Source organism: Homo sapiens, chromosome 11 (genome assembly GCF_000001405.40).
Source record: "Homo sapiens chromosome 11, GRCh38.p14 Primary Assembly".
Classification (NCBI taxonomy): domain Eukaryota; kingdom Metazoa; phylum Chordata; class Mammalia; order Primates; family Hominidae; genus Homo; species Homo sapiens.
In genome coordinates, this window is record NC_000011.10 from 27,108,038 (window position 1) to 27,134,736 (window position 26,699).

Genomic DNA, 26,699 nt, shown 5'->3' on the forward strand with positions numbered 1-26,699 from the left:
TTATCATAATATGTGAAGATAGACTTTTAGGCTACACATCCCATACTGTGCCTAAGACACTCTAGGGCTAATAAATGTTTTATTATTCCCTGCCAGTTAGCTCAGAGGGCCAGAGAACTGCTCTGATGAAGCCAAGTCACAGACCCCCATCCCTGTAGAGGCCAGTGAATGTCAAAGAAAAGATCTGTTCTCTGGCTAATGCTTACACCTTGCATCTCAACCAGTTTTTGGCTAGAGTAAAATTCTGTCAGTTTACCCTTGATCATAGAAAGAACCAGGAAAAAGAATGTAGGTGAATCAATGCAAAACCATCACCACTCTTGAAAAATAATTCAAATAGTCATTTCCTATTGATCGTGCAAACCGCAGCATTTTCTTAGAAGATATTATGCATTCTGCACCTTGATGAAATTACTTTTTTGATCTCCTTAAATCTCTTCTCATATGTTGATTATTTTTCAAATGCCAGTGTTGACAATCGTCTGGATCCATATTTTGTATGGTCTATGGAGTGACATGAACTTCATAGAGAACATGTATTTCTTGGCAACTCTCACTGCAATATAATGGATTGTCTGACACATATTTGAAATGAGTTGCAGCAGACTATAATACTCCATCTTTTTTCACTCAGCCTGTTTCCACATCATGGCCACATATGGATGGCTGCTTGACCCTTAGTGAAAGATATATCAAGTGTTCCACCCTAATTTTAAATGAGAAAAATAGAGCAAAATAGCCAATTTTATCCTCAATCCCAGGGAACAGGTGAGAAACTCTTTTTCTCATTAAGAAAAATATCCCCACATGTGAGAAGAGATTATAGATTGTATTTCCACTCTCCTCCTGCCACTGCCACCCTACTAATACCCTTTACCGTATACCGTATGAAAATGAAAGCTCATAAAAGTCACCCCTTCCCTGTTTACACTCATTCAGTCAAAATTTATTGGTTCCCTGCTTTAGAATTGGCACTGGTTTCGTTGATGGTAGGAGATCAAAAGTATTTGTTGTACTCTAAGAGAGTTTACAGTCCAGAAGAGGAAGCGGAATTCTGTATTTGTGTATTTAAATGAGCTTAGACTTACAATAGCTCTTTAAAAATTATAACCATCTTCATAAAACACCTAACATATTCAAATCTAATAAATGAGATGAATAAAACATGCTTATGAGAGTTCTGACTGTAGGAGTAAATATTGGGTAATCAGGAGAATGAGAGGAAGGAAAAGTCCTATGGGGCATCTCCTGTGTGTCAGACATAGACCTTTCTTATTTGTTACAAGTTTTTGAAATACATTATTGTTCTATTTTCCAAATATATAAATTGAGGCTTAGAAATAATAGACAGATTGTCCAAGATTATATAGTTATGAATTAGAAACCAAGGCTTTGAAGCCAGTACCGTTTGAACCTAAAGACCAAGACTTTTTCTAGATTTGAGATTATGAAATAGTTGGAACCTGAGCTAGATTTTCATTAATGGGTACAGAGATGGGGAAAAGAACAGAAAAAACTGACAGAAAAAAGAAACCAGAAAAAAAGGCAGGAAAGTGTGTAGTGCTAAAATTAACATGATTAGAATAAATGACTCAAATATGGCAATAGTTGGCAAGGTTAGAAAATTGCATTGGGTCTTTGAATTCTAGATCAGCAGCGCTGAATTCTATCCTTCTGGGACTGAAGAATCAGTAAGAGCTTCTGACAGAGAAATGGCAAAATGAACATGAAACACTAGGGAGGTTTTCCTGGTTGTAGTACATAGTGTATGGGGGAATACCAGAGGCAGGGTAGAATACCAGACTAGAGTGACTTTCTAGGAAGCTAAAATATCCAGACCAAGGGTCTTATTTTGTGTGCTCATTTGTCCATATGTGAATGGAGATTTTATAAAAAGCACTTATTTAAAAGTTTTTTAAATTAGGTGAAGCAAACTTCTTCCTCCACCAGATAATAAATTTTTATATAGTGAATCTTAATAAATAGGACCTCCCCCACCTGGTTTCTGAACCTGAAAACCTTGGCATCATTCTGGACTCCATTTCTCTCATATCCTACATCCAATTTATCAGAGAATCCTGATAACTCTACCTTTCAAGTTCAAATCCAATCATTCTCTCCTATGCATGTAGCCATAGTTAGGAGAGAACCATCATGATTCTCATGTTTAGGAGAGAATTGGTTACCATCATCTCTCCCTCCTCCTACCTTTTTCCCAGTACCATCTACCCCTTACTCAGTGGCTAGAGCAATTCTTTGAAACTACAATTCCAATGAATAATTTACATAATGGAAAACTTCAGTGGCTTCCCATCACATGTAAAGCAAAATCTCAAATCTTCATCCTAGTCCCCAAAGCCCTTCAGAAACTGGCTTCTGTCTGTGCATCTGATGCATTTCCCACTCTTGATCCCCTGGTGGCTCTGTCCCAACCATGCTGACCTTGTTCTGCCCTTGTTCTTCCACAAATACACTAAACATACTCCGAACTCAAAACCTTTTCACTTTGGGTTCTGCCTAAAATACATCTCCCAGAAATTCACATTTCTCCTTCCCTTATTTTGTTTGGGTTTCTGTGGGGAAAATGCCACCTATTCATAGAGCACTTCCCACAGCATCATCTCTGTAATAATACTTCTCTGACCCCATTCCTTATCTCTTTACCTTGCTTCATTTTCTTTGTAGAACCTATCTCTATTAAATTTAATAATTACTATTTTGTCTTTTTGTTCCCTGCTGTATCTCTGATGCTAAATCAATGACTGAAATAGGTGTTCAGTGTTTATTTATTCAAAGATAATTTGATGTATATGAATATATATTAATAGACATTATAACAGCAATCAAATGGCATGTATATATAGTGAACATTTTTCAAGCCATATTTGGTTTATTTTTAAACATGGCCTCCTTTCAATTACCCATTGTCTGGATCTTCCAAGGGTAATAGCTTACAAAGTCTGAATAATGGTTTATTTTCTTGCTACAGAGTTGCAAGTAACCTTAGTTCTTTTTTTAATTCACTTTTTTTTAACTTTTAAGCTAAGGTATTTTTAATTTAGGTAAAATTTACATAACAATAAAATTAATCATTTTGTGGTACATAGACACCATGGAATACTACACAACCATATAAAAGAACAAAATCACAGCCTTTGCAGCAACATGGATGCAGCTGGAGGCCATTATTGTCAGCAAATTAATACCTGAACAGAAAACCAAATACTACATGTTCTCACAAGTGGGAGCTAAACATTGGGTACTCATGGACATAAAGATGGCAAAAATAGACACTAGGAACTACTAGAGTGGGGAAGGAGGGAACGGGAAAGGGCTGAAAAATTACCCATTGGGTACTATGCTCAGTATCTGGGGATGGGATCAATCTTACCCCAAACCTCAGGATCATGCAATATATCCATCTAACAAGTCTGCACATGTACCCCCAAAAATTAAAAGCTGAAATTATTTTTTATTACCATTTTAAAGTGTAATTAGTTTTATTTACTATATTCTGTTGTGTGTCATTTAGTACATTCACAATTTTGTGCAAATACCACCTTTATCTACTATATTCTGTTGTGTGTCATTTAGTACATTCACAATTTTGTGCAAATACCACCTTTATCTAGTTTAATACTTTTTCATAAATAATATTTTCTAAACTATTCAATTTGGAATGATAGGAAACAAATTTGTTATATTACAAATGGTAAATAAAGAGAAAGAATCAAATGTTTATCTCATCATCCCTCTGTAAGCTGTTATACTGAGTAATCAAATAGTGGATGAGGGGAAGTGGCTCCCTTTAAAAGTATTCTGAGTGATAAATCTTTTTAAAAAGAGTATCAGTTTGGTATTTCATTGTTTGAAATCCTTGACGAATTAATGGATATAGCCATTGAACATGAACATGTACAAACATCAAAAAAGAAAGACAGCCAGGCGTTATGTGTCTGGCAATACAAGAACATAATGCCATCTGTGGCTTTGCCAAAGAGAAAGAATAGACACTGTCTAAGCCTCTGCATTTTGCTGCCAGTTTCCCAGAAACTGCACCATGAGTATGTACTCAATGAAGTCCAGACTGTGGGAAACTCTATAGGTCAAATTCCCTAGTTCTTCAACAATTGTAAGGAGCACAGCTTGAAGGAAAAACTTGAAGATTAATAGACTTAAAGCATATAGCAGTTGTTATTAATGAGCAAGTTTAAACACAGTGTCCTTGGATGAACATTTGGTTGATAAAATTGTAAAGAAAAGCAAGGAAATGATAGCTATAGAAGTCACAGTCATAGTTATTTTGGAGAAGACAGAAGTGTCTGTGACTGTGACAGGGCACACGTAGGTGCCTAAAGTTTTATTTATTGACCTGAGCAATAGTTTCAAGAGTGTAATTTAAAAATTGAGTTTCTCAGATAAATACACAAATGGAACAGAATAGGGACCCCAGAAATAATGCCACACACCTACAACCCTCTGATTTTCAACAAAGTGGACAAAAACAAGAAATGGGGAAAGGACTCCTTATTCAATAAATGGTTCTGGGATAACTGGATAGCCATAAGAAGAAGATTGAAATGGGATACCTTCCTTAAACCACATACAAAATTCAACTCAAGATGAATTAAAGACTTAAACGTAAAACCTAAAACTATACAAACTTTGGAATATAACCTAGGAAATACCATTCTAGACATAGGACCTGGCAATGATTTCATGATGACTATAACAAAAACAATTGCAACAAAAACAAAAATTGACAAATAGGACCTAATTCAACTAAAGAGCTTCTACACAGCAAAAGAAACTAACAACAAAGTGAACAGACAACATATAGAATGGAATAAAATATTTGCAAAGTATATATCTGACCAAAGTCTAATATCCAGAATCTATAAGGAACATAAATTTACAAGCAAAAAACAAACAACCCCATTAATAAGTGGGCAAAAAACATGAACAGACACTTTTCAAAAGAAGACGTATACACAGCCAACAAGCATATGAAAAAGTGCTTAACACCACTAATCATTAGAAAAATGCAAATCAAAACCACAATGAAATACTATCTCATACCAGTCAGAATGGCTATTATAAAAAGTTAAAAAATAACAGATGCTGGTGAGGTTGTGGAGACAAGGGAGCACTTATACACTGCTGGTGGGAATGTAAATCAGTCCAGCCATTGTGGAAAGCAGTTTGGCAATTTCTCAAAGACCTTAAAAACATTATCATTTGACCCAGCAATGCCACTATTGAGTGTATACCCAAAGGAATATAAATTGTTCTACTATAAAGAACATGTATGCACGCATATGTTCATCACAACACTATTCTCAATAGCAAAGACATAGAATCAACCTAAATGTCCATCAGTGATATAATGAATAAAGAAAATATGGTACATATACACCATGGAATACTATACAGCTATATGAAACAACAAGATTATGTCCTTTGTAGCACCATGGATGGAGCCAGATGCCATTATCCTAAGCAAACTAACACAGGAACAGAAAACCCAATACAGCATGTTTTCACTTACAAGTGAGAGCTAAACATTGAGTACACATGGGCACAAAGAAGGGAACACTAGACACCTGGGCCTTTGTGAGGGTGGAGGTTGGGAAGACGGTGAGGATCAAGAAAATCACCTACTGGCTACTATATATATTACCTGAGTGACAAAAATACTCTGTACATAAACCCCTGTGACATGCAATTTACCTATATAACAAACTTGCACATGTACCCCTGAACCTAAAAGTAAAAAAAAAAAAAATCAAGTTTCTCCCTAAGAGCAGAAACAAGACAAAAATGCTAGCTTTCACCATTGAGATTCAACATCGCACCAATATTTCCAGCCAGAGCGATTAGACAATAGAAATAAAGGCATCCAAGTGAGAAATAAAAAAGTAAATCTATCTCTATTCACAGATGGTATGATCTTACATATAATAAATCCCATAAAATCCACCCAAAAAAAGCTACTAAAGCTAATGAATGAATTTAGCAAGTTGCAGGGTGCAAGATCAAACACAAAAATTGGTTGTCTTTATAAACAGTAGCAATGAACAATCTGAAAAGGAAATCAACAGATCCATTTACAACAGCATCCAGAAGAATAAAATACTTAGGAATAAATTTAATCACAGGGGTAAAAGACTTTTATAGTACTTTATACTATAAAACATTGCTGACAGAAGTTAAAGAAAACCTAAAGAAATAGAATGGCATCCTGTATTCGTGGATTGGAAGGCATAAAATTGTTAAGATGTCAATACTCCCCAAAGCAGTCTACAATCCCTACCAATATTTCAGTATCATTTTCTTGTTTTAGAAATGGAAAAGCCAGTATCAAATTTATATGAAATTGTGATGGCCTCCAAGTGGGCAAAACAATATTTAAAAAGAAGACTGAAATTAAAAGACTCATACTTCCTGATTTTGAAATTTAACTACGAATCTACAGTAATCTAAGTAGTGTGATATTGGCATAAGGATAGACAAATAGATCAATGGAATAGAATTTTGAGAGTCCAGAAATAAACCCACACATCTATGGCCAATCAATTATCAACAAGCATGCCAATATCATTCAATAGAGAAAGAACAACCTCTTTAACAAATTGTTCTGAGGCAACTGAATACCCCCATGCAAAGAATTAAATTGGACCCACAACTCATATCATATGCAAAAATTAATTCAAAATGAACAAATTATCTAAATATAAGAGTTAAAGCCATAAAACTCTTAGAAGAAAACATAGAGGTAAATCTTCATGGCTTTGGATTGGGCAGTGGATTCTTAGATATAACATTAAAAGCATGAGCTTACTATATAATTCCATTTATGGTAAATATCTAAAATAGGTAAATCCACAGAGACAGAAAGCAAATTAGTGATTGCCAAGGTCTTGGAGAAGGGTAGAATGGAAAGAAACTGCTTACTAAAATAAGAGGTTTTGATCTGGAGTAATATAAACGTTTTGAAACTAGCTATGTAGAGGTGGTGGTTGCCAACAGTGCGAATTTACTAAATGCCACTGAATTGTTCACTTTAAAGTGATTCATTTTCTGTTATGTGAACTTCACCTCAATAAATCACTTTTTAAAATGCATTAACCCAGTAAAAAGATAACCTACAATTCCATATATACTTCTTTATAAACTGTAGGATAGACTGATGTACTCTTTTGTTGAGAGGAGAGGAAAAATGAGGAGATGTTAATTCTGAAATAGTGACTTTAGGCAGAGAAAGGTCAGATTCCTTGTCTCACTCATAGTCATTATGGTAATTATTTCAAAAAATGAAAAGTTTCCATTTCTCCCCACATATCAAATTCATTCTAATGCATTTCCTCTGGCTTAGTGACAACCTGTTTAAACATGTGTTTCTTGCATTTTACAGACATACTTGGCAAGTGCAAGACAAAATCGATGCAAACAATGTGGCTTACACAACTGGGAAGCTAAGCTTTCACACTGATTATCCAGCCCTCCATCATCCACCTGGGGTAAGTGAGCTTCAACATATTTTCCACAAAGCATGATGATGACCAGTATCTTTTCGTATTTTGAGTCTAGAAGATTACACATTTCACCAGGTAGTTTGTCTTTTATAAATTTTTTCTCCAAACACAATCCAAGCTCACAAAATCTCTGTACCTAAATCCTAAATATCTTCACATTCCTAAAGGAGAGGATAATTTCATTCATTTAAAACAACAACAACAACAACAAAAACATTTCTTTGTTCTTCCTAGAAATTACTATTAGCATTTTTTGCTTTGCCAAGACAGATTTTAAGGTAGGAGTAAATCTTAAGGTCTTTTTGCACATATATTTCTAAGAAAGTTAAGAGAGAAAATGAAATCAGTAAACAAAATGTAGGGTTTCCCTCAAAGTCACATGGGCATCATTCATATCCATTAACTACTGCTGCATTAAAACTCATTCTACTATAAAGACACATGCACATGTATGTTTACTGCAGCACTGTTCACAATAGCAAAGATTTGGAACCAATCCAAATGCCCATCAATGACAGACTGGATAAAGAAAACGTGGCAGATATACGCCATAGAATACTATGCAGCCATAAGAAAGGATGAGTTCATGTCTTTTGCAGGGACATGGATGAAGATGGAAACCATCATTCTCAGCAAACTAACACAGGAACAGAAAATCAAACACCGCATGTTCTCGCCTATAAGTGGGAGTTGAACAATGAGAACACATGGACACAGAGAGAGGAACATCACACACTGGGGCCTGTTGGGGGGGTTGGGAGGATAGGGGAGGGATAGCATTAGAAGAAATACCTGATGTAGATCACGGGTTGATAGATGCAGCAAACCACCATGGCACGTGTATATATATGTAACAAACCTGCACATTCTGCACATGTATCCCAGAACTTAAAGTATAACAAAAAAAAAAAATAATAACTCACTCCCTAACTTGATGGCTTAAGAAAACATCCATTTACTTAGCCCTTGTTTTTTCAATATGGGCTGTATTCAGCTAGGCAGCTCCTGTCTTCAGTCATATACCTGCAATTGGTTGCTAAGTTGGCTTGGGACAGATTGACTTTCACTGAGATGGCTGGTTTCTGCTCCACTCGGTCTATTCACCACCAGTAGGCTAGCCCAAGTTTAATGCATATGGCAACTAGAAGAATTTTCAGACAGCTACACAACTTCTCAAGGCCTGGGCTAGTCACCTCTGCAATGTTATATTGGTCTAAGGAAGTAATAAATCTAGCCCACATTCAGGAGGTGAGGAAATAGACCGCTTATGGAGGAAGCTGCAAAAATGCATTATAAACTGTGTGACTACAAGGAACATAATAACAGTGGCTATTTTTGGAAACCATCCAACATCCCATCTATCAGATTCCTTGTCAAGGAGGGAAATGCTCAGTGTGAAGCCACAAATCCCCAGGAGAATCTCTGGGTGGACATTCTTTCTCTACATTTTTACAAAAGTTTCATTTTACTAAATGAGCTACATTTTTACAAAATCATCATTTTATTACACCAAAAATAAGTGGTTAGGAAACTACCTTTTAAAAGATATGCCATCCCTATTTTTACAGCTAAATTAGACTATGTGAAATAACCACATAGAAACCTATATCTTCAAAGGCAAATGAAAATTTGGGCAATTCTTAAGTTAACAAAGGAGAATGGGCCAAAATCACAATTAGCCCAATTTTTTTTTCATTATCTTCACTGTACATGTTTTCTCTGTGCCCTTATTGTTACCCATTCTTCTTGCCAGTATTAGCTACGCTAGTCTAGTATTTAACTTTACATGTTATAAATTATTTTGTTGATTGTAAAATACCACATGATTTCTTTGAACTAAGTGGCAGTAAAATGACCCCTGTAGACACACTTTTGGGTAAGGGTTGGGGGCAGGAGACACCCAGTGTGATTTTATTCTAAATGTGGCTCAGATTTTTCTAAAACCCTAGAGTTAAGAGCCAAATTAATCAGCTCAGCTCTTCTTCCAAACATAGCTTGAGGGAGTTGGATGGAATAAGGCTTAAAGAATGAGACTAGAAAACTAAAAGTTTTATTTGAATTTTTAAATTATCTTCTGTCTTTTAAGAATTTAAGTTTTGTTTCTGGGTTAAAATTTGAAGCCTAAGGAAAAGTGACCAAATGACTTCATAAATGTTCCTGAAGTATAATAGAATGCTTGACTTTTTCATAGTCATAGCACATTATACTACTTCAAAGCAGTTTTGCTTTCATTATTTTATCTGACTCTTCTTGACATTCCTTTAAGGTAGACAAGATTGATCATGTCTTTTTATGTCAGATGAGAAAATGAAACACGAGATTCAATATTTTTATAGGGTGACATTTGATTAAGGAGGAACTTGGACTTGAACCCAGGCCTCCATCTAGTTTTCTGTCACACCACACTGATCCTGAGCTGGAATTTCTAACTATTATAATTTATGTAGTAAAATAGAATATTTATAGATTTTATCGTACTTTACAAACTTCTTAAAGACAAGAATTGACTCTTGGGAAGAAAAAAGTTCTTTGTATTTCAATACTTTGTATCTCAATATTTACACGCACATTGCATGTAATAGAGACATCATAGATACACTATAAAGAGGCAAAGAAGTGCAACAAACCTGTACCTGTCTCCAGCAAATGAAACATCCAAACTAAGTGACTTGATAGGAGATTTTAAAATAGCAGATGATTCCTAAAATGTCTAGATTCTACTAGAATAATAAAATGTAGGCAACCTGTTTGTACTGTTGTTCAAACTTCCATTTTGAATTATTCCAGGTGAGTTGTGCCAAGGTTTGAGATTTTCTATAACAAACAGAACAAACCAATATATTTTTCTGTATAGATGAAATAATCTGAAAAATGAGTTACCTGTTGAGAGTTCAGTTTGATCGATTTGGATTATGTGGGGCAGAGATAAGGCACCACATCTTTAATGAAACAGAGATGTTGCTTCACTCACTGTTTTTGCAGAAGTCACATGCTGCATAAAGTAACATTCAGAAGGAAAATATTTTTGGTTCTGAATGACTCATATGAAGTAAAATTGGGTTTTATACATGACAGGCATGTATTTGCGTTTTAACCTAGCAATAAAAGTATTGTCAGGCTCCATCATCTTTTTTCTATTTGAAGATTGTATTAAAAGTGTAACTGTACAAAAGAAAGTATCAAGGGGCCTTGACATATGTAAATAACATTAAAAAATGATCTTTTTAAAAATTAGCACTTGAAATATTCTGTCAGTTCATGATGGCAAAATCTAAAAGGATTTAAAGAACACTGTGATCCTCCAAAAACAAAGTTATGCTATTGTTTTGCTACTCTGACCAGTTCCTTCCTCAAAAAAAAAAAAAAACATAATCCTATGTAACACCACTGGCCTAATACTTTGCAGCTCAGTTCCGACTACATTACTTTCATATTCAAAAGCCTTCAGTGAATTCCCTCTATGCACAAATACAAAAGCCCTTCATCTGATATTTAAGACTCTCCATCATGAGGCCTCACCAATTGCCCTTCCAACCTGATTCACTCTTTCTATTTATGGCCCTCTGCTGTAGCCAGACTTTTTATTACCCAGTGAACTGTGCATTTTTGCACATCATTATTTCTGTCACCTGATTTGCTTTCTCGTTCTATTCTGCATAACCCAAATCTCATCCATTCCCCTTTGCCTAACTTACCCGCCTCTTCCCCTTGAAATCCTTCCCTGCCTACTCCAACATCAAGTGCTCCATCTATGCAGCTCTTACAAGCTGTTCTTTTTGTTTGCTAATGAGCATTATCATGCCTGCATCTATGTCTTCAACTGTAACATGTTTGAACTATACAGTATTGATTATAAGCAACTTTTTTCTTCCCAACTCTTTTCTGATGACATAAGAAAGACAAAAAAAAAAGTTTATTGGCTTTGGTTCATTCATAGCTTTTTGAATCTTTAACACAGTATCAAAAAATGGTGCATGTATATTATTTTATTTTATTATTTATTTTATTGAAGATTAATTCTAATAATTAAAATGTAATTTAATATTTATTTAATAATGCATATTTTCTTTTTATAGGTTCAGCTTCTTCACTGCATAAAGCAAACAGTCACAGGGGGTGATTCAGAAATTGTAGATGGGTTTAATGTGTGCCAAAAACTAAAGAAAAATAATCCTCAGGCATTCCAGATTTTGTCCTCTACCTTTGTGGACTTTACAGACATTGGAGTGGATTACTGTGATTTTTCTGTACAATCAAAACATAAAATTATAGAGTAAGTACTATTTATAAATTTCCCATAGCAATAAAAGAATTGACAACAAAAGATCCACTAATCTAAAGTTTAAACAGCACAAAACTTCAACGAACTTCAGAGCTTTATTTTTATTAACATTTCACCCAATTTTAGAGTGATAGTATTTTCACCATAAAAGTTTTTATTAAATTACATAAAATTTATCCCTAATCAGTATTAGAGGAAAAGTAACTAAGATTTCACGTATACTTCATTTTTAGAATATAAGTTCTACATAGCTATAATCAATGTGATTATACTAGTTAGAAGGCTTTTGGCCAGAAGTGAAAGAATATAACTCAAAATAGGTTGATCCCAAGAGTTAAACAATGTCATGTGATATTGGTCTCTTTTTTCTTCTTAGCTTTGCCATCTTCTATGTTAGCTTTATTTTTCAAAGATGATCAGCAGAAGCTCCAAGATTTCATTTTCCTTACAGCTAGTAATCACACCACAAACAATGCTTTTACTTCCCAATAAAGCTAGATGACTCAATCCCTAATTTCTGTCCAAGTCTATCCCTGAATCAATCATCATGGCCAGTGGGTTAGAGAATTCTGATTGTCCATGCCTGGATCACATGTTCAACTCTGGAGCAGGGTCAGCCTCATCTGAATCACACGGACTGAGAATGAAACAGGGAGGCTCCCCAAAGAGATACTAAGCCAACAAAGATCATATATTACCTACACAGAACATTTTGTATTCTCCCTTTCTTTTTATTTAATATTATTTTATTATAATTTTTCCAAGTACCTACAAAGGCCACAAATTCATCTTTTTATTTGCAAATTAACTTACATTTTGTTTCTACAACAGTTTATTTAATTATACCTCGATTAATTTTGGTAGGGGGGTATAATTTTAGAATTTTAGAATTGAGTTTAAATTTTTCTATTAAGAGAAACAGCCAAATGGTATGAAAATAAACTCATTTAGAAAATAATTAAATCCCCAGTACATTCATTTATTCATTCAACAAATATTTATTGAGGCCAGCCACTTTTCTTGGTACTTGGAATACATCAGTGGACAAAACAAAGATCTCTCCCCTCATATAGCTTATACTCTAATGGGGGAAGGGAAATTTTAAAGATTTTTAAACAGATGAGTAAATTATAATAAAAGTTAAAAATTATTAAATGCTTAAGAAAAAAAGGAAGAGCATAGCAAGATAAGGGGAATCTGTAGGGCTTAGCAAGGACGGAAATTGCATTATTAAAGAGCGTGGTGAGGGAAAGCTTTACTGAGATTTGAGCAAACACTTAAACGAGTGATGGAGTTTTCAGAAGAGAAGCAGTTTCCCGAAACTGCTAGACCAAAAGTTCTAAAAGGGTCCTAAGGACATGTCTGGAGTGTTCAAGGAACATCAAGGAGACCAGTGTGACTGGAACAGAGTGAAGGATGCAAGTATTAGGGGAGGAAGTCAGGTAGGGACAAGTTCCTGTAGAGTCTTGTTAGCAAATTATAACAGTAACATTTACTCTGAGTGAAGTAAGAAGTTGCTGCAAGATCCTGATCAAAGGAAAGACTTTGATATTTATGTAAATTTAGTTATATTTTAAATGGGTCACCCTGACTGCTAGAAAGAGCAAGGATAGTAGCGGGAAGACCAGCTAGGAAGCTACTGCATGACTCCAGGCTAGCAATGGTGGTGCCTTGAACATGAGTGGCTAGAGTGACAGCAGTGGTGGTGTGGAGAAGGATCAGTTTTTGGTTACATTTTGCATGTATAAACAGATTGTTTTCGTGAAAGATTGGAGGAAGTGTCTGAGAAAAAGATAGACGTCAAGAATGAAATTCTAGTCCAGAATAAACCTGAGACGTTTTCTAAGAATTCACTCATCAAGGTGAAAAGGAAATAACTTGAGACCCTTAGTTATAATGTGACAGTTTTAACTAGTCAAATATTAACTTAAAAATTCATGACAAATCAAAATTTTGTTAAGACACAATACGATTACAGATTCTGCAAGGCTAGTGAACAGAGGCAAGAAACATAGCTATAGATAAGATTAACTGAATGTCCACCATGTGGCTCATGACTTGGCTTTGATATTTTCTGTAGTAAAATTTCAAAATTTGGCCATGTGTGAGGTCTCAGGAATAGCCCCTAGAGAATAAATATCAAGTGGTTAACATTAATTCACTTAAAAGTATATTTTCAACAACAGGAAATGAAACAGAGCGTTCTCAGTTAACAGAGGGCCTCCATCTCCTAAGTGTTTGGGTTAATTTAATTTTCTTTGTGGTTAAATCCTTAAATTTTTATGTCCTAGTACAAAAATGTCTTTTATGCTGCTGACTGAATTACTTATAATTCAGTACAAAGAAAAATAAATCAATAAAGAAACAAGCAAAATTAATGACGGTGAGACTCAGCTATCCTATCAACTACACATTCAATCACGTAAATTCAAGTCTTTTACTTGCCAGCTGTGTAATCTCTCATGTGATTATTTACCCTTGCTGATCCACAGTATATTTTCCAGTTAAAAAAACGAAAACAAAAAATACTGCCACACATGATTGAAGTAGGAATTGCAGAGTTAATATATGGAAGCCCCTACTATTGTGCCTAGTTTAGAAAATGCAGAATACATTTTAGCTAGTTATAATATGCATGAAGTCCAACACACTTACTGGGGGGAGATTTCTATTTCAGGTCTGAATTTCTAGAAACCAAAGCAAACAGAGACTATAATCAGTTATAAGACAAGATGCTTTCGAAGTCCGAAATAAATTTTTCCTGCAGATCCTCATAAATTATGACATGGTAGACAACACTGTAGTAGTATTCCCACAACAAATACAACAAGTTCCATAAAACATTGTATCTATCAATGAGACATAATGCTGTCACTAATGAGGAGTATTCACAACACAAACTGTGGAAGATCATTTTAAAAGTCCTTTCTTTGGTTTTTTTTTTGTTGTTGTTGGCATCATTGATAATGTTTTGCTTTTGCTGGTTCACTGCCACTATGTTGTTGGTTTAAGTTTAATTAATTTGTCCTTTATGTATAGCGAATGTATAGCCAGTTACTCCCATCTTTTGTGGCTTTTTACCTTTCCTCAGCATGCAAACTTACATTAGACCCTGCTGTTCTGTTATAAGGCATCAAATTTCTTGCTAACCTTCAATTTTTCATTTTAGGTTGGTCTTCAAGGTACCAGCTACCCATCTCCTCTAACATTCTTCAATCCTCAGAATAATGTCCCCTCTATATCTTACAACAAAATTTGCTTTCCATTCCCCTATTATTGCTGAGAATGCTAAATAATACATTTGTGTCTTGTTTTCTCAGATAAACAGTAGGTAAAAGAAAGCAGGGACTGTGTTACACTATAACACACACAAAAAGTTGATTACTTTTCTATATAGGTGAACTCTTAAAAATGAAAGCCTAATCTAGTATACCATGAGGCATCCAATTCTGATTTTCATTACATTTATTAATCACAAAGTTCATTTCACTGATACATGAGGATATACCCAAGGACTCTAGAATAGTTAGCTCATAATTAGCATAACCATTCAAATCAAGGAGCTATGGTAATAGTGGAAGAAAAGTAAAGCAGATCTTGAGGGTGACTGAAACAGACGACCCCCCCAGAAGTTCCAAAGTCATGACATCCCTTGGCGGATGACACAGAGGATAATGTTATATGTACAGAACACATAACAAGAAAAAAAAAGAGGAAAGTGGGTCAGAAGCAGTAGGGCTAGAATCTTGCAGTTAATATCAAAAGGCAAATGGCCTCAGACACTGTGACAGAGGTCTGAAACCAGCAGCATGAACTCTAAGGGGGTAATTGAAAGGTCGTGTAGTCTCTGTACCACTAAATCCTAGAGGTACACAGTCTTTTCTACTGACTTCCCTTCCATCTGATTCTTTGTACATAAAGCTGTATCCAAAAGGCTCAGAATTCTTGATTTATGTGAAAGCATGTGGAAGCAGGTAGGGTACTCCATTACCTAGTGAGTCACATTTGTATTGTTATTAATACATGCAAATCTATGTTTTAAGAGTCTAAGAGCCTTTTTGAAAGCCTGTTCCTTCCTTTTACTTCTTTCCCAGTGTGGGTTCAATAGGTAGTTTTAAGGCCTTACCCAATAAGCAAAGAATTGGTGCTAATCACCAACTGTTGAGTTTACCATTACAATTGCCGTTTGGCTCAGAGCCACCATGCACAAGGGGCCCTGATCATCACAATTTGTACTTCACTGTCAATGGCATCTTTCCCCATTTGTTGATAATATTCACTAAATGTAACCCAGACCCCAAACCAGGGTCACCAAACCCAGGTGTATGTGTGTTTGGTCTGACCGACCAAGCCTTGGCCCTGGTCAGTTGTTGGCTCTCATTAGCACTTCCTGCACTTGTCCTTCTAGGATGCTGCTCCCAGGAGTAATCCTAGGTACTTTGCCACCATCCTTGGTCACCTTCAGTTTGCATGCATTCATCCTGTTTCTACCTAAAGAAAAGATAAAGTTGACTGACACTTTAAGATCGTCTGAAGGTCCACCTTCCCAATAAGCTACAAAAGAGTTTCCTCTTTTTGCCTCTGTATCTGGGTGATGTTCATGTCTTGCTAATTATAACCACCAAAGCTCAAATCTAAGAAATAATGTGCTTTCCTTATTTATTTATTAATTTATTTTTTTGAGACAGAGTCATATTCTGTTTTCCATGCTGGAGTGTCGTGGTGCGATCTCCGCTCACTGCAACCTCTGCCACCTAGGTTCAAGCAGGTGCCTGCCACCACACCCAAGTAGCTGGGATTACAAGCATGGGCCACCATGCCCAGCTTTTTATTTTTTCTGTACTTTTAATAGAGACAGGGTTTTGCCATGTTGGCCAGGCTGTCCTCGAGCTCCTGACCTCAACTGCCTCGCCCACCTTGGCCTCCCAAGGGAGGCAGGGATTACAGGTGTGAGCCACCGTGCCCGGCCTTCTTTCTTTATATTAAATGCTGTATTATCTTACATTGGCATGGTCATAATCCATATTTTGAGAAAGAGAATAGAGATCACAACATTAAGAGCTCTCAAATTACTAAAAATAAAAACCTTAGTGCCCTCCCAAGGTACTAAAAAATATAGAGAGTGATATGTGCAACAAACATTTATTAACTGTCTGTTATGTCCAGGCTCTATGTTGAGTGCTAGGAATACAACATTAAATGAGATACAGCACCATCTTCTGGAAGACTCAATACTAAGATAGGTAGGATGAGTAAATAGATAGAAAGAATATACCTCAGGCTAGTCCCTTCTTTTCTCATGCTTTGGTTTTCCCACCTGTAAACTAAGGATTGAATTAGAATCATGCATTTCAAACTATTTAAAAAATAGAATTTTCTTCCCATCATACCCTCAAATAAAACCATCATACTTAGAACCTTAATAAATGAAACACATAGAACAATTGACCTATAAATTTGTAACATGAAAGGATTTTAATACCTGTTTCAAATAACAAAGAATGAATGACTTTAACTAAGCATAACAAAATTTTTAACTTGAATCTCTCAGTAATACTTATTTTAATTTAAGTTGAGTTCTCCTGGTACTGAGGTAGTAAGATTTAGAAAAAAAATCTAAATGAATGAATGAAAAAAAAGAGAATACATTGCACCACAGGTAGCCTTAATATCTTCTGTACATGTATTTGGATTTTTTAATATGGTGTTTCAAAAATATATTTGAAGAGGAATTGACTCTTATCAATGTAAATAGATATTTCATGAATTATATATTAATTTTTTCTCTTAATAAAACAGGTTAGATGATAAAGGCCAAGTGGTTCGCATCAACTTCAATAACGCAACTAGGGACACAATATTTGATGTGCCTGTTGAAAGAGTTCAGCCTTTTTATGCTGCTCTGAAGGAGTTTGTTGACCTCATGAACAGCAAAGAATCCAAGTTTACCTTCAAGATGAATCCAGGTCAGTGAATACATTTTCTCAAATAACCAAAAGCATGGATTTTCTTCAACCTTAACCACCTAGAATTATATCCAGAGCAGTTTTTCTCAGGTATGGCATGTAGAACACCAACAACAGAATCTTGGTGAGCAACTGACTTGCTTATGTAGTGGACTCGTGGCCCTCATTGAGGTTTATGCTTAATTATTTTATCCTGATAAACAAATAGAAATATCCTCATGATTCTTACTCTAACACACACAAGTGATGCTTACTCATTAGGCTTTACTAGTGGAGACAGTACTACCTGAAATAAAGTAGTACCTAAAGTATTCCAGTTACTTGAGATAAAAAAAGCAGAAAGCATTATATTTTTTCTGGACCATCTCTACTCAGTAAAGTGCCATCAAACCTGAGGCTTTTGGCATCTACAATAAAAGGTGTAATTTCTCTCTGCTGTCGGTTTGGCCAGATGGAAGATTCTTTTCCTTTGTATATATTTTTAATTGATCTTTGGTATAATAAGTTAATAGGAATCTCCATAAATCCACTGCCATGCAGTCACAGCAGGTTAATTTTAAAAATGGCAACATGTAAAATGAAAACATTATAGGGGGAAAAAATACAAAAAATACAAGTTAGAATCCAAGCTTCGACTATTTAATGGCAGTGTAGTTTTGGGTAAATTCCTCAATTTTTTAAAGCTTCGGTTTCTTCATGTGTGAAAAGATGAGAGAATACTTTCTTTTCAGGATTCTTATGAGGCTTAGAAATAATGTGGCATAAAATACTAGGCACACAGAAGACAAACTAAGAATTTCACTATCCTTTTTATTTTCTGAAGCTGTTAAACTGAGAAGAAACATTTCTTTTTTTTCTTTTTTTTTTTTTTTTGAGACGGAGTCTTGCTCTGTCGCCCAGGCTGGAGTACAGTGGCGTGATCTCGGCTCACTGCAAGCTCCGCCTCCCGGGTTCACGCCATTCTCCTGCCTCAGCCTCCTGAGTATCTGGGACTACAGGCACTGCCACCACGCCTGGCTAATTTTTTCTATTTTTAGTAGAGACAGGGTTTCACCATGTTAGCCAGGATGGTCTAGATCTGCTGACCTCGTGATCCGCCCACCTCGGCCTCCCAAAGTGCCGGGATTACAGGCGTGAGCCACCGCGCCCGGCAGAAGAAACATTTCTAATGAGGTATCGATCAGTCAAAACGATACAGATGTTTTACACAGAGATAATATTTTAAATAAGAATGATTAAAATACCTTCAGGAGACTACCAGGCTAGGTAGTTTAATTGTCATAAGGTCTAAAGCAGTTTGCATCCAGTGGCCTGATTTGTGTGGAAAAGTAAATGTGCAGTTTCATGTAAAGAAATAAGCGATGATTCTTGATGTGAACCAAGCAGCAGCTGTGTTTTGCATGTTACATTTTCTAGCTCTGTAAGTCATTTAAACACACAATTATTCATATTGGAAAAAATCTTTTCTTTAGGTGATGTGATTACTTTTGATAACTGGCGCTTACTTCATGGCCGACGTAGCTATGAAGCAGGAACTGAGATATCCCGCCATCTAGAAGGAGCTTATGCTGACTGGGATGTGGTCATGTCAAGGCTTCGTATCTTAAGGCAGAGGGTGGAGAATGGAAACTGAAGTCACCTGTAGATAATTTTAATAAGATTCCAATGACCATATTTTGTGAGATATGGCACATTATTCACAGACCATGATCTTTGTGATTTACATATAATTTCCTTAACAATGAACATGTAACTTCTCTCACAAGAGTACTCTTTACTTTGTAATCATATACAATGTCAACTTTTTAGATGTTTCACCACTCTTTTGCAAATAAAGCATCCTTTCTGCTCTGTTGCATGCCTGCTCTAATTTCTTTTGCCCATATATGAGTATCTCCAGAATGTCTACAAATAGTTTTTGTAGCAAATGAAAATTTCTTCAAATAAGCCTTTTGTTTCAAATAAAACTTGTCTCAAAACATGCTTCTACCCTGTTGCCTATAGGATCTCATTTTCCAAGACTGCACACGACCATCTTTAGCATGCTTGGAAAAGGTTTTATATTTCCAAAGATCTGTTTTATGCACTTTTATTATAGAATTCTTTTATCCAAATTTCCAGACCTTGCCAATTTAGTGATTCCAACATTTTCTTTTACTACCTAAATTATGACATCTAAACAAAGCATGATTAATAAAGAGAAAATCTAGTCTCACTTTTTTTTTTTTTTTTTTTTTTTTTAGACAGAGTTTCACTCTTGTTGCCAAGGCTGGAGTGCAATGGCGCTATCTCAGATCACTGCAACCTCCACCTCCGGGGTTGAAGCAACTCTCCTGCCTAAGCCTCCTGGGTAGCTGGGATTACAGGTGCCTGCCACCGCACCCAGCGAATTTTTTGTGTTTTTAGTAGAGACAGGATTTCACCATGTTGGCCTGGCTGATCTCAAACTCTTGACCTCAGGTGATCCACCGGCCTCAACCTCCCAAAGTGCTGGGCTTACAGGAGTGAGCCACTGCACTCAGCCTCGTCTAATTTTATCTTGTCCCAAATAAATACTCCCAACCGCTGTCAGCATTGCTTCCATGTGTCTACGAATCAGATCTCCTCATTTCTTGTTTTTGACTAACAACTGGACAAGGTAAAACCAAGAGACAGGTACTACTTATGAATAACACGATGTCTGCAAATCTCTGGACAGCTTTCCCTGCTGGTCCCAGCTTCCTCCATAGTCACTGCCTTGCCCTAGTGATGGAACACAGGTGTCACTGCCAGCAATGGAATTCCTATTCTTATTGAATCCAGTCTCTCTCTATCCCTGCCAAGAAGACTTAGCATTACCATTTGCTGAAATCCTGGTAGTTCATAGATTTTTGGACCTAATCAAGCTTCCTGTTCGAAAAGTCTTAATTATTGCCACCACTGCAGAGCTCTCTACTTGTTGCCTCCAGACCAAGTAGAAAACATTACTTCCATTGTTGTTTTGACTTTTGCTGCACATCCATTTCAATTTCCACAAAGTGCGCCCATGGCACAGGGAGTCTAGATGAAGACTACCTTTAGCCTGTGTGGGCACACCACTCGGACACTTTGAATTCTGGTATGAAGTCCACATCTCCAGCCAAGACTCCTCCTTCCCTTATAACACTACCCCTTTCTGGGGTCCTCATTGTCCTTTTCTATCATCTGGTCTTGATTTGGGCTACTGTAGTATATCACATGTTTGATTCCTTTGAACCACAAAGGGAATGAGTTGGGTTCTCAATCCCATACCTCCTAAAATGCTCCTAGAATAAAAACAAGTAAATTCGAGATGCATGGCCTGATTCTAAAACGCAACATTCAATACCTAAAAACAAATAATTTGCTGGAGTGACCCTAGATTCATCCATTCATAGCATCTAAACCCAAGGCACTTGCCCAGCTAAAGTGACTTCTTATACTTTTACTTATTTAACAGATATTTATCACATATCTGATATATGTCAGGCACTCTGCTAAAATAAGAATACCAAAGGACATGAAATTTACCTTCTTAGAGTCTGGTAGGGGAGCAGATAAGGATATAGATTATAATGTGCTGTGTTAACAGAATGACCCTCAGGAAGGCAACCAAACCAGACTGGGAATGCTAAGAAAACCTTCAGTCTAAGTTGAATTATAAAGGTTCATAGTAGTTTTCCAGGCAAAGATGGTGAAATAAAACTCCAAGTTAAAGGGTAGAAGAGGCACAGAGAATTGAGAGTAGAAACATGGCATGTGTTGACTTACAAGTGAAAGAAATAGATTACGATGTAATGTGAATTCTGGGGTTGTATGCCTAGGTTCAAACCACGTGTCTTTGGACAAATAACTGTTACTGTTCCCCTTAAGCCTCATTATTTCTATCTATAAATGAAACTAATAACAGTTCTTATCCCATTACATTTTTATGAGGATTAAATGAAAGTTCATGTAAAGCAGTGTTTTCTCAAATTTCTCAGATGATAAGTCACACCCATGGTGCTTTTTTAAAAAATACATCTTCCCAGATCATTCCCTGAGGATTATGATTCAATGGGTCTGGGATGAGGACCAGGAATTATATTTTTAGCAAGGATCCCAGGTGATATTCATCATCAGTGAAGTTTGGAAAATACTGATATAAGACATTTAGCATAGTTCCAGGATCAGGGTTAGTACTCAATAGATATTAACTATAAATTAGTTATAAAAGCAGAATTTGCAGAGGAAGAGGGTGATTTAGTATGAGAAGGGATATATGAAGCTGGAAACAGAAACAATGATCAAGTCATGAAATGTCTAAATGCATGTTACATTAAGGAGTTAGTATTTTATCTTGAAAGCAATTAGGAACCATTTAAAGGTTTTTAAGGAGCAAAGTGCCTTGATTAGATATTCATTTCTTAAGGATTCATCTAGCTTCATGGTGAAGGGAATTGTAAACAGGCAAGAAAGAAGGTCATAAAACTATTTATGAGGTAACTACAGGAAGCCAGATGCAAAATTAAGGAGCACTGAATTAGAACACTGGAAGAGGGAATCGAGAGATACATAGAAAGCAAAATCTAGAGGACTTGACCCACTGCATGTAAAGAATGAGGGAGAGTCTAGCTTGTTGTCTTATGGGTTTATAGTTAGGAGAAATGGGTTGTGCACAGGGAAAAGAAGCCACAATAGTAGGATCAAGCTTGTTCAGCAATAAAATCGATTTCGAACAAACTGAGATTGAGTTGCCACTGAGCTATTCCATCTGACAGTTGGATATATGTGCACATAGACTACGGAACAGAAATCTGAATTAGAGATCTACACTTGGAAAGTATATAGATGGTAGTTGAAATCATCTTATGTTTTCCTGGAGACATTTAGTGATGTGACCAAAGTCACATCCCTAATGGTTGGATGATAAGCTAATGATATTGGCCTAGCTTATAGAATCAGTTACACTCAGAATCAGAGAAGGCTTATATTCAAAATCCGAAATATCTCTTACATATTATATTTTGTCTCTAAAAAAACAGCATTCCAAGCCACTACTCCATGGCCTGACTGTTTCCTTTTCTATTGCAAATATTATTTCTGTCCTGGAAAGGAGACACAGAAGGTTTGGATGCAGTTAAACAATTTCTAAAGTGTTATATAGGACATGACATATTATGGGCTACAGCAGCTGGTGCTAACTGAAGATGATTAGGTTTCCTGGATATAATTGTCTAAAGATTTGACTTCTCCCCAACCTCATAATAGACCTGATGTAAGTTGGATTAGAATTTACCCTTATTTGGCAGTATGGATTCTTACTCTCTGTTCCATTTCTCTGATTTGACTTGGAGAATGTTAGCTACTTGGCTAGTTCATCAAAATGACTCCACAGGTCACCAGAATTACATGTCACAAAGTATTTTCATTGGTCTCTACTTCTCTCCCCAGTCAACCACTAAAGGGCAGGCAAAAGAATATTGGTATAAAGAATTTAAACAAAAAAAGAAATTCTATAGAAAAACAGAGTGATGCTGAGGGTAATTTCTCTTCAGGAATTTAAACTGTGAAACAAGAGGTATTTTATAAACAAAAATATTCCTTTATGTTAAATAACATTTTGAGGAGGGATGTCAACCAAAATTTCTTGCAATGAAAATGTAATTTGGTTGGACTTTATGGTTTGGAGCATACCTCTGAGTCTCTGCACATTTTTTCCAGCTGTCTGGAATACCCTGCTCTACAACCCTTTATGCCTGGAAAACTCCCCTTCTTCCTTCAAAGTTCAGCCTAAGATTGGTCCGCAAGATGATAAAGCCGGAGGTTTCCCACTCATATCCCTCCACAGCAACTATAATTTGGCAGCCATCAACAGACAAAAGTGCATTTGTAGAAGCTTTGGGAACCACATAGGCGGTTTGAAATCCAGTGAAGCTCAAGACCAAACAGGGCTGTTTTGAAAAGGCAAGTCTACACCCAGGTGTAGGGCTCACTGACCATGGTACCAGCTAAAGACCCCAAAACAGCCCCCAACTTCCTATGGACTTAGATACACACCTGTTTAGCATTGGTCTTGCCAGCAGTACCATCTGCCAAGGGACCCAGGAGAAGTCACACCCCCACTCCGTGCCTTAGATAACAGGCCTGCTGACCACAGTCAGCTGAGGACACTGAAGCAGCCTGTGACCCATCTCCAGTCTTGTGACCCACCAGGATCCATGCCCCTGGAGGCAGACTTTCCTACCTCAATCCCATAGCAGATCTTGAAACAACCCTGCAACTTGGCTCTAGCCCCTTTCAGTTGCAGACCAAGAATGGTCCTCCTCTGCAGTGACCTGCCAAAAGACATACCCATTCATGTCCCAAGAAGCAGATCTGCCAACTTCAGTCAGACTACATATCCTGAAGTAGCCCTAGAAAATGGCTCCCATGAGCCCAGCAGGTGGCATACATATCCGTACACCTGGAGGCAGACATACAGGCTACACTCTCAGATATAGACTCTGAAGCAGTACTATAACTTGATTCCAAGCCACCCTGCCAAAGAACCCACCCAGAAACCTACCTAGTAACCTGGTAAGAGCCATCCAAGGGGCCTGGCAAGAGCCAGAATTGTCTGTAAACCAGATAGCATGCCAGCTGTCCATGAACCTAACTGCTGCAGACCCTGAAGTAGGTCCTGTCCCGGCTGCAATCTTACTGACCCAGGTCATGGAGGCAGTCCAGTCTACCCAGGGACCAGACAGGATCCATATCTGACCAGCTCTGGTAATAGGCCAACCAATCACTGAACCCATGATAGACCAATCAGCAGCCATGTAAACTGACCCCAATCCTACACAACTGTGATCCTAGAGGCAATCCCATCAGGGAAAGGACCCAACAGGAAAAGGTCTTTACCTGCCAAACCCAGTCTGTAAAAATTGGAAAAGGCGTTTGCTCCTTCAAATGCGCAGACACCAGTGCAAGGCTTGATGAACCACAGTAATGGAGGCGAATATGTCATCACTAAAGGAAATTAAAGTTTTAGTACTCGACCCCAGAGAAATGAAGATCTATCAATTTTCTGATAAATAACACAAAGTAATCATCTAAAAGAAGCTTGACAAGATGCAAGAAGACAGGATAGACAACTAAACAAAATCAGGAATAAAATACATGAACAAAATTAGATGTTTAATAAAGAAATGGAAACCGTAAAAAAAAAGACCTAAAAAGAAAACCTGAACTAAAGAACACAATGACAGAGTTGCAAAAGCAATAGACAGCTTCACCAGCTTACTCAATAGTGCTAAAGAATCAGGATACTTGAAGACAAGTCACCTGAAATTATCCAATGAGAGGAACAACAACAACAACAACAACAACAGAAAAAAAGAATGGAAAAGAAGGAAGGGAGCATATGGGACCTAAAGGACAGCATCAAGCAAACAAACATATGCATTGTGGGAGTCCAAGAAGGAGAAGAATAAGAGCAGTAGAAAGCTTATTTAAATAAATAATGTCTGAAAACTTCCCAAATCTTGGTAGGAATATGGCTATCCATAATCATGAGGCTCAAGCAACATTAGCTCAAAGAAGATTACACCAATATACATTATAATCAAATTGTCAAAAATCAAAGACAAAGAGAGAATCTTGAAACCAGCAAGAGAACAGCAACTGCAGCTGACAAGGGAACCTCCATAAAGCTATCAGCAGACTCCTAGCAGAAGTCTTACAGGCCAGGAGAGAGTGGGATGACATATTCAAAGTATTGGGGCTGGCAGGGGGTGTGAGGGAGATATCAATCATGAATACTATACCCATCAAAGCTGTCCTTCAGAAATGAAGAAGAGATAAAGTGAATAGAGGCAAACATGTCATTCCTAGAAAAACAGAAGCTGAGAAAATTCATCACCACTAGACCAGACTACAAAACATGCTAAAGGGAGATCTTCAAGGTGAAATGAAAGGACACTAAGTAACAACATGAAAACATAAGAAAGTATAAAATTCATTGGCAAAGGCAAATATATGGTCAAATTTGGAATATTTGAATACTATAATAGTGGTGCATAAGTCATTTTTAAACCCAGTATAAAAGTTAAAAGATAAAAGTATTAAAAATGTTTACAGCTATAATAATTTATTAATAGATACAGAATATTTTTTAAAAGCATATCAATAACATAAAATGTGAGGGGTAAAGTAAAAGTGTAGAATTTTAATATGTAATTGAAGCTATCAGTTTAAAAAATAGACTGTTATACCTGTAAGGTACTTTATGCAAGCCTCATGGTATCCACAAAGAAAACCTCTAGAATCAAAGCATATGCCTATAGATAATCATCACATCACAAAGGAAGACAGAAAAAGAGGAAAAAATAACTACGAACAGAAAACAATTTTTTAAAATGGCAGTCGTTTTTTACCTATCAATAATTACTTTAAGTGTAAATTGATTAAATACTCTAAAATACATTGAGTTACTGAATCAATTAAATAACAGGACACAACTATATGTTACCTAGCAGAGACTCAATTTACCTTCAAGGACATACACAGGCTTTAAGTGAAGAGATGAAAATAATATTACATGCAAATGGTAACCAAAAGAGAACAAGGTTGACTATACTTAGACAAGATGAAAAAAGTTAAACTGTTTCCTCATGTAAATGACATGATCTTATACAAAGAAAACCCTAAAGATGTCACATAAAAATTGTTACAATTAATAAATAAATATAGTAAATTTTCAGGATACAAAATCAGCATACAAAAAAATTAGTCACATTTCTGTACACTAATAATGAACTATCTGAAAAATAAATTAAGAAGATAGTCCTATTTACAACAGCACTAAAAATAATAAAACACTTAAGAATGAACTTAACCAAAGAGGTAAGAGATCTGTGTACTGAAAACTGTAAGACATTGATGAAAGAAATAAATATT

General features: G+C 36.3%; 1 protein-coding gene and 1 long non-coding RNA gene across 12 annotated transcripts in view; one reads left to right on the forward strand and one right to left on the reverse strand.

Moving 5' to 3' along the window:
- The window catches only part of BBOX1 (gamma-butyrobetaine hydroxylase 1), an 86,995-nt gene extending 67,223 nt beyond the window's left edge, over positions 1 to 19,772 (forward strand). For all 9 annotated transcript variants that reach the window (NM_003986.3, NM_001376260.1, XM_047427692.1 and 6 more), the window contains 4 exons: positions 7,415 to 7,520; positions 11,612 to 11,808; positions 17,617 to 17,783; positions 19,256 to 19,772. In NM_003986.3, coding sequence (NP_003977.1) covers positions 7,415 to 7,520; positions 11,612 to 11,808; positions 17,617 to 17,783; positions 19,256 to 19,416 — 631 coding nt within the window. In that variant the 3' untranslated portion in view covers positions 19,417 to 19,772. The remainder of the gene's footprint in view (positions 1 to 7,414; positions 7,521 to 11,611; positions 11,809 to 17,616; positions 17,784 to 19,255) is intronic.
- BBOX1-AS1 (BBOX1 antisense RNA 1) overlaps positions 1 to 26,699 on the reverse strand; it is a 172,928-nt gene that overhangs the window by 60,852 nt on the left and 85,377 nt on the right. The gene's annotated exons all lie outside the window — the stretch shown is intronic.